The 9,009-nt window shown below is 37.3% G+C and overlaps 1 protein-coding gene across 1 annotated transcript; it reads right to left on the reverse strand.

Annotated features, from left to right (window-relative positions):
- Nucleotides 1-2,947: 2,947 nt before the first annotated feature.
- On the reverse strand, nucleotides 2,948-3,668 carry KRTAP7-1 (keratin associated protein 7-1). Its single transcript, NM_181606.3, has one exon. It carries the CDS (start codon nucleotides 3,605-3,607, stop codon nucleotides 3,344-3,346), a length of 264 nt encoding a protein of 87 aa, NP_853637.2. The 5' UTR covers nucleotides 3,608-3,668; the 3' UTR covers nucleotides 2,948-3,343.
- Nucleotides 3,669-9,009: the final 5,341 nt, after the last annotated feature.

A 9,009-nucleotide genomic window follows, 5' to 3' on the forward strand; every position in this document is an offset into this window, starting at 1 on the left:
CAAATTAATTATTAATTACAAAGGGCAAAGAGCAACTTTACAGTAAAGAAACCTGAAAGGCGCAACTTTCCCCAAGTGATCAAAGTTAATATCAACCAAACTACATGAGCCAACATAATGTGCCTCCTGATATGATGTGCTGAGAAGGATAAAGTATCACTTCAATGACATTTCCACCAAAAGTGCATGATATAAATCTAATCGTGAGGAAAGTCAAACCCAAATCAAGATACATTCTGTGAAATGACTGCCTGCATTCTTCATATTGGTTGAGGTCAAGAAAGGCAGAGAAAAGTTGAGGTACTGGTCCACATTAAAGAAGACTAAAGAGACATACATAATACTGGATTGGATCCCGAAGTAGGGGGAAAAAAAGTACAAAGGACATTAGTGAGACAAGTGATTACATTTGAGTATGCACTTTGGGTTAGAGAATAGTATTATATTAATATTAAATATTTAATTTGTATAGTTATATTGGCTTTGTTCTTAAGATAAATGGTATGATATCTGCCACCTATTCTGAATGGCTATCCAGATAGACAGACAGAGAGAGAGTTGATAGATAGATAGATAGATAGATAGATAGATAGATAGATAGATAGACAGACAGATAGATGATAGATACATAGATACATACATAGGTAGATAGATGATAGAGATACACACACACTATACACATACATCATATAGCATATATACTATATGTAATAATACATTCGATGGAAGAAAAATGTAAATCTGAGAATGCAGGACTTTTTTGCACTATTACAGCAAATTTTTCATAAGTTTGAAATTTTTTTAAATAAAAACTAATTAACAAAATACAAAACAATTATGGCCTTAAAGTAGAAAATAAATGTTAGTCATAAAGATAGAATCTAAAGTCTTATGGTTGGTAGAGATCTCAAATCACCTATCCAGTACTCAACACCCTTGGAATCTCTCCACCAACAGGTCATCCTACCTATGCATTGGAGCCTTGCCAGTGATAACCTATTTCATCCTTAAATAGCCTTATTCTTTTTCCCATTTGCACAGCCATATCTAACTTGATATGTAACTCTTACTCCCTCTCATGGTCATGTTTACGTACCGAAGCTTCCCTTCTATGCAAGCCTGTAACACTTTGTGTGTATACATGGTTCTTATCACAGACTGTCTCCAATTTTAGGTCCTAGGAAGCAAATGAGTAAGGAATATCTATCTGTCTTTGGATAGTCATTTACAGCACATTGATTGACATGAAATAGGAGACTATTAAAAGCCCTTTAAATATTGAATAAAGTGTATTTAATTCTTAAGGGCATAAATTGTGTTTCAGTTATCTCTAAGATTTGTGTCCCCAAATCTTAAGACAATGCTGTGCTATACTATGTGATGAGTACCTCTTGAATGAATAAATCTCGAAGACAGTCAGCTTCTCATATCAAAAACACCTCTGCTTAGTTGTTTTTACAACTGTAAATATCTTAACACAGTGGCCACAGCCCAATAATACCTGATGCATGCATGAATGAACTTTACATTGGACAATACAATATTTTGCACCCATAAAGCAGAGATTTAACAAGTAAAGTCAATGAACAATTAATCAAGCACCTTCTCTCAGGCAGAGGTGCAATAAATACATGATATGTGAATGAATGAGTTTTAATTCAAACATAAAGTGTTTTGCTTCAATAAAGCAGAGATTTTTCAGTAAGCAAGACAGGGAGCATTTTCTTTTTTTTTTCTTTTATTATTATACTTTAAGTTTTAGGGTACATGTGCACATTGTGCAGGTTAGTTAGATATGTATACATGTGCCATGCTGGTGCGCTGCACCCACTAACTCGTCATCTAGCATTAGGTATATCTCCCAATGCTATCCCTCCCCCTACCTCCCACCCCACAACAGTCCCCAGAGTGTGATATTCCCCTTCCTGTGTCCATGTGATCTCGTTGTTCAATTCCCACCTATGAGTGAGAATATGCGGTGTTTGGTTTTTTGTTCTTGCGATAGTTTACTGAGAATGATGATTTCTAATTTCATCCATGTCCCTACAAAGGACATGAACTCATCATTTTTTATGGCTGCATAGTATTCCATGGTGTATATGTGCCACATTTTCTTAATCCAGTCTATCATTGTTGGACATTTGGGTTGGTTCCAAGTCTTTGCTATTGTGAATAGTGCCGCAATAAACATACGTGTGCATGTGTCTTTATAGCAGCATGATTTATAGACCTTTGGGTATATACCCAGTAATGGGATGGCTGGGTCAAATGTTATTTCTAGTTCTAGATCGACAGGGAGCATTTTCTAAGTGTAGACAACATACCATTTCAAGTGCTTTTGATGGCAACTATTATTTCAAAGAATAAACACTTCATTTTTAGTACTAGTTATATGTATAATCAGAGGTGAAGAAAGTGGAGAAAATAAACCCATCTATCAAAAAAGGATAAAAAATAATATGTGATTTTAGTAGTTGGCTTCCCTTTATTGATCAAATCTTAGGAACTCTTAAAGATAGAGTTTCATAACTAAGTCTATTTAGTTCCAATTCTTCCAACAACATGAGGGGTTCAAATCTCCCCAGAGCTGAGTTCTATAAACAGTAGGAAAGGAGAAATGAACCAAAATGGAATCTTGTCACTAAGGAAAAGAGAAAAGAAAACATGTTTTAGCATTCAACAGCTAAGAAATATTCCTGTTTTATAATCAGCTTTGAGAAACGCCAACAATTGCAGTATATCTGGGTTAAATACGGGACATTTCCAGGGAGTTTTTTAAATTGAAATATCAATATAAAAATAAAAAATGGTTAGGCATCACCCTATCCTGGCTATATAGTCTGAAATCAGAATAAAATTTGGTTAAAGTCAACCATTACGGGTTTAAACTGATTGATGAATTCAAGAGCATAAAAGAGAAGTGAAATAAATAACCAGGACAAAAATATTTATGCTGAAGGAAATAGATTTATTAAGAGACTGACAGAAAATCCCCTTACTACCCACACCCAATTTGTAATACATTAATGTTGATGTAGAAGCTAATAATACATGAGCAGAGCAACCATGGGAGGCAAACTACTTTTTCACTGTTAAAATTCAAGTATGACCAAAAAAATGCATCTTGCTTCCTTTGTCTGTAGATGAGTATCAGTTCAGCACCTGAGTCCTGGGTGACTTGTCCAACAGCATCAAAGACAAAGACCACAGCAAGAAGTCAGCAAGAAGATGGAAGATGTATCACCCAAGCACATGGGAAGGTAGGAAGACAGTCATTGCTCTTCAGGTTGTTCTGTGCAGAGAATTAATTGAGAGTCCTGTAGTCACTGGAGCCATTGGTCCATCAGTAGGTGCTGTAGCCAAAGCCAGAGCCAGAGCCCCATGGCCTATAGAAGCTACCACCATAGCAGCCGCCCAGGTTGTTGATGTTGCTACCACCAAAGCTGTAGCCCAGGGAGCTGTAGCCATTGCATCCACAGCCATAGTTCAGGGGAGAGCCCAGAGGCACAACACAGTTCAAGGGGGTGGCTCTGAAGGTCCCATGGAAGTTGGTCCCATAGATAGGGTATCCTGGGAAGTAGCTTCCACAGCAGAAGTAACGAGTCATGGTGGCAGCAATTGAGAAGGATTTAGATGGATTGTGAAGGGTAAGTTACCCAAGTGTTAATGAAGGTCTCTTCCCGTACAGGGCTTTTTATACCTCAAGCTGGTGGGCACAACACATCTGTCTAAACATCTTCCCACTAATTTGCATAGGTAATCTCATTCTTTTCTAATAAAATGCTTATAAGGAATGCACAGACTCATTGCCCACATTTTTGTTGGCTTTTCTCTGTACTATTTTAAAGCCAGTGACCATGCTTGACACGCAATCGAATTCTTTTCATCAGAGTCCCATAGTTTAACTACTGTTCTTGATTGCATCATGTGAGACTCTTTAAATCCTCTGATTATAAACTCTTCCCAACTGACATAGCTAAACTAAAAAAGCTTTGGCAAGAATGCAAACACTTCAAGCCAAGACAAAGCCATATATTGAGGTCTTTTGAACATTATTTTGAAACATCAAACTGAAATTCTATAACCTCTTGAAATTCACCCATGTGCCCTTTTAAAACAATTGTATACCAACTAGTTAATGGGTACAGAGTTTCCTTTTGGAGTGAAGAAAATCATTTGGAACTAGACAATGTTGCAAAACATTTGGAATGTACTAAATATCACTGAATTGTTACCTTTAAAATGCCTTGGTTTGTGTTATACAAATTTTAACTCAAAATGTATTTTTTATTTTAAAAAGCACTGCTACACAAATCTATCCAACCAGGTGTTTTTACAGAGGCTGCAATGGTGCCAAATAATAAGTTGGCTGTGAATAACCTGCAAGTAATTTTCATCAATTTCATTTATGAGCATTCTGTTTGTTAATACATATTTTATTTTTTCATGGAGAACATACCATGTTTGCTTGTAAATCATCTTGAACATTGCCAAACTGTCTTTCTGGAGTTGCCACACTGGCGCTGAGTGGGATGATGCTCAATTTCAGAGTCATGTTATACCACACTTGCTTCTTACTGACTCCTATAAAACAAGCCTGAATGCCATGATCCATTATGAAATACCAGTTATATTTAAGGATGCAACACTTCCTTCTGCTCTTATTTTGCCTTACATAACCAATTCTCATGAAGAACGTAAACCAGGAAGGATCTGAGCTCAGCAAAGCTAAGTCTATTCCAATTCAAAGGTTTACGACATCATCTTTTTATATGTGAATCAAAGTCAGAATTCTCTGAAAGTAGAAGAAAAAACTTCCTGAATACCAATTCCTTTTTTTATTTCCATCTTAACAGACAATCACAGAGTCCAATATGCAAAACTAATCATTCCTCTCAGACATCCCTCTCTCTTTAAGATTCTATCTCTCTCAGTTTCTCTGACAGAGAGCTGCCTAAAGAATGTTCTATAAGTGGATATGATTTCTTTTATTCTACAAATTAATTAAATGTCATAAGAGTATATAGAGAAAGTTAAAGAAAAATAAGTTATAATTTCAAATTCAGTTTAACAAAAAGAATGAATTAAAATGGTAAGAGGTTGTGTCCTCAGGGTTTAAATTATATAAACTCTGTATCAGATAATCCAGAAAACTCAAAAATACGTTTGTGATTAGGAGAGGGCAGGGGTGACTAAGAATTACGCGTGACTTGAAAAATTTCACTACTGATTCTATCACACAATGACATTGGAACCTGTAATTTGTACATGCTGCCACCAGGTGGCAGTGGTATTTCAGTTACTCCGTATAAACCACAGGACTGGATTTAGGGTTCTCAAATGTAAGCAGGTAGAAGAATCTTCTAAAGAATTCGCTTGAAATTCAGAATTCCAGGAGCTCTCCTCTCCCACCACCACCTGAGATTCTGGAAATCTCTATTTGTAATGGGTATCTCAGGTAATTCTGATGAATAAATCATCCTGATAAATTCCAGGGCTGGTTTGTCATGAGAATTCAAAAAAGCTTTTGCTGGGCTGTGTGAAATTGCCCAGAGATGCTTATCTCTCATTGGCAGGAGTGTTTGGTTTCAGTCGCTGGTGACTTATTTCCCTTAACTCTGGATGATAGAGGTAATTAAAGAAAAAGCTTTAGTTTGTCCTCTTCCATTTCTTGATGCTCTCTGCTTCTTGTCTCAGGACACACCTGATTAGAAAGGGAAGGTAACAGCAATGTGTTCAAGTGTCTCCTCAGAGGTAAAACCCACCTATGTGACTGCTGGTTTTGTTACCCATAATCAAAAGAAAAACTTATATTTTCTCCTTAGCTTGTTTTCACTTTCCTATCTCTTACTAGACATACCCAGAGAAAATTATCAGCCAAGTACTCGATTGCTATTCAATGATTTTTAAGATTGATAATAACAAAAAATATCATTAAGGACTTACTCTGTGCTAGACTCTGTTCTAAAGAATTTGCACATACTACTTAATTATATATTTTACCTCTATATATAGTAAGAAGGCTTACTATGCACTATTCCAAGCATTTGACAAGTGTTAATTCATTTAATTTTTATAATGATCTTATGATGTGGGTATTATGATTCTTTATAAGAAAACCGAGTCCAGAGGGTTTAAGAGAATTACTGAAGGTCACATGGTTAATAGTCAGCAGAATCAATCTCCAAACCCATGCCATCTACCTCCAAGCCATGCTCTTAACTACTTTACTATCCTGCTTTTGATATGTCATTAAGGCTTTAAAGGGATATAGCTTCTACATGCCTCAAATCTATAATTCATTGCATTATTTTTTGAAGAACACATCGATCTAGCTTTTGCTGCTAAAAACTAGAAAACAAAAAAACAAAGGCTAGTTTTTGCTGCTATAACAGACAGACATCCAAAATTTCCATGTTCAGAAATGTATTGCCTGCTCACACTATGAATTCCTCTCACATTGGTGACTGTCTTGGATACACATCATTTTCACTCAAAAGACTCAAGCTGACAGTGCTTTGATTATCTGAAATATGACAAACAGGGGAAAATGAATGGGGCAAGCCATGGTAGCTTTTAAAGGCTCTCCTCAAGTGTTATACACCATTTCCACACTCTCCTCATTTCCTAAAGTAAGTTCCACAGCCACATCTAACTTCACAGGTCACGAAGAGCAATGCTACTATGTGCCTGGAGGGCGAAAGCCTACAATGTCACCGAACAACATTAATGACTTCCACTGAATTTCTATTCCTTACATGGGCTAAAATAATTTTAACAGATTTTAACACATATTTCAAAAGATTAGATGAGGGCAGACATAAAAAGTTTTTTAGAACTTTACATATCATAATGTAAAATGGTCCTGATAATTCTAATCCTGAACAATTTTAAATATAGAGGTTTTATAAGTTGTTTGTGCAATTCATGTAATATTAGTCAGCCTTTGGTTGTAGATTAGCATGTAGCTTTAATTCCTTTTCTTTGTTTTCTTTTCTCCATTTCCCCCTAATCACTATGTACTCTAATTGAGGGAAAAGTTGCCATAAATATTAGTTTTACAAAGAAAATCCCTCAATGCCAATTGATTTGGTGGGGGGAGAGATTAGTTCTAACACCAGATTTTATTTGATTTATTTGAATGCATGTATTTTCTTTAAAGAAAAGAGAAAATGAATTGACACATAGTATTTACAAGGAAAAAAATAAGCAATAAGGAGCCTACATGACATATTCACTTGGAAATTTGAGAACTTTTATCAGGCAAGGATCAGACCCCACTCATAGCCTCCCAGCCTCTCCCACCTCTTATGCAGCTGCCCCTATAGGAATCATCTTGGTGTAGGTTCCAACTCACCTCAAGCTGGTACAACATGATGGAGCTTTACATCAGTCCCCTCACCAGATATCTGTCATCCCCCACCTGGGGACTTCACCTTTAATAGCTAGGATAGAGACTGGGGAGCCTATCTAGGGCCCATGCTTGCAAAACCTGAAGTGTAGGGCAGTTAATGCCCTGTGGAGCAAAACTTCGACCAAAAAGAAATGGAAGTGTGGATATATTCTCCCCTTTTCTCCATGGACAGACTTGCCTGAGACAGTCCTAAGAGGGTTAGGCAGCTTCTTGGGGAATAGTGTCATGGAATCCAGCACATAATTGCTTAGCTATGGTCAACTGGATGAGGCATCTTCATTTGAGCACTCCACCTTCCCTGCTTCACTTCCCTTACCCTTCGCTCCTTCTCCTGAAGAAAGCAATAGTACATGAGCCCTTCACCTGAAACTCTGCTTTCTAGAAAACTCAGAACAGAATACCACATCAAACCATCTTTGGAATAGCACCTTTACTGAGATGTAATTCACATATGATAAAATTCACCCAAAAGTGTACAAAAAGTATACAGTGGGTTTTAGTGTATTTATAGAGTCCATCACCACTAACCAATTTCAGAACATTTTCTTTACCCCAAAAAGAAACTCCATAACCACTAAAAGTCACTCCCAATTTACAACAACTAAACTAAGTTCTCATTCATAAGACTTAAGCTGACAGTGCTTTCATTATCTGAAATATTACAAACAAGGCAAGAGGAATGGGGCAAGTGACGGTAGTGTTTGTTTGTTTGTTTGTTTGTTTGTTTGTTTTGAGACGGAGTCTCGCTCTGTCGCCCAGGCTGGAGTGCAGTGGCACGATTTCGCCTCACTGCAACCTCTGCCTCCCGGGTTCAAGTGGTTCTCCTGCCTCAGCCTTCCAAGTAGCTGGGATTTACAGGCGCCCACCACCACAACTGGCCAATTTTTTGTATTTTTAGTAGATACGGGGTTTCAGCATGTTGGCCAGGCTGGTCGCAAACTCCTGACCTCAGGTGATCCACCCGCCTCAGCCTCCCAAAGTGCTGGGATTACAGGCGTGAGCCACCGTGCCCGGCCGATGGTAGCTTTTAAAGATTCTTCCCAAATGTTGTACACCACCTGGACACAAAATTAAGTTCTGTCTCTGTGGGTTTTCCTATTCTGGACACCTCACATAAATTGAATCACACAGTATGTGGCCTTTTGTGTATGATTTCTTTCTCTTAGCCCAATATTTTCAATATTCATCCATGTCATCACACATATCAGTATTCTTTATTGTCAAATAGCATTCCATTGTATGAATATACCACACTTCGCTTATCTATTCATCAGTTAACAGGTTTTTACATTGTTTCCAATTTTGGCTGTTATAAATATACTGCTATGAATATTCATGTACAAATAATTTTTAACATGTCAAAACTTAAGCTCTTAATTTTCTCCTAGACACTCACTTCTTCTCCAGCCTTTCTCATCTCAGTAAATAACACTACCACCAAACTGCTTAGAACACAAACTAAATTTCTTTCTTAATGATAATTCCTTCAACCCCTCTGTCCCCAGGTCCAGTCAGCTTTGCCTCCAAAACATAGCTCAAATCCATCACACTTCTTCACTCTCTCTGCTGTCACCTCATCACACCATCATCTCTGC

Source organism: Homo sapiens, chromosome 21 (assembly GCF_000001405.40).
Source record: "Homo sapiens chromosome 21, GRCh38.p14 Primary Assembly".
NCBI lineage: Eukaryota > Metazoa > Chordata > Mammalia > Primates > Hominidae > Homo > Homo sapiens.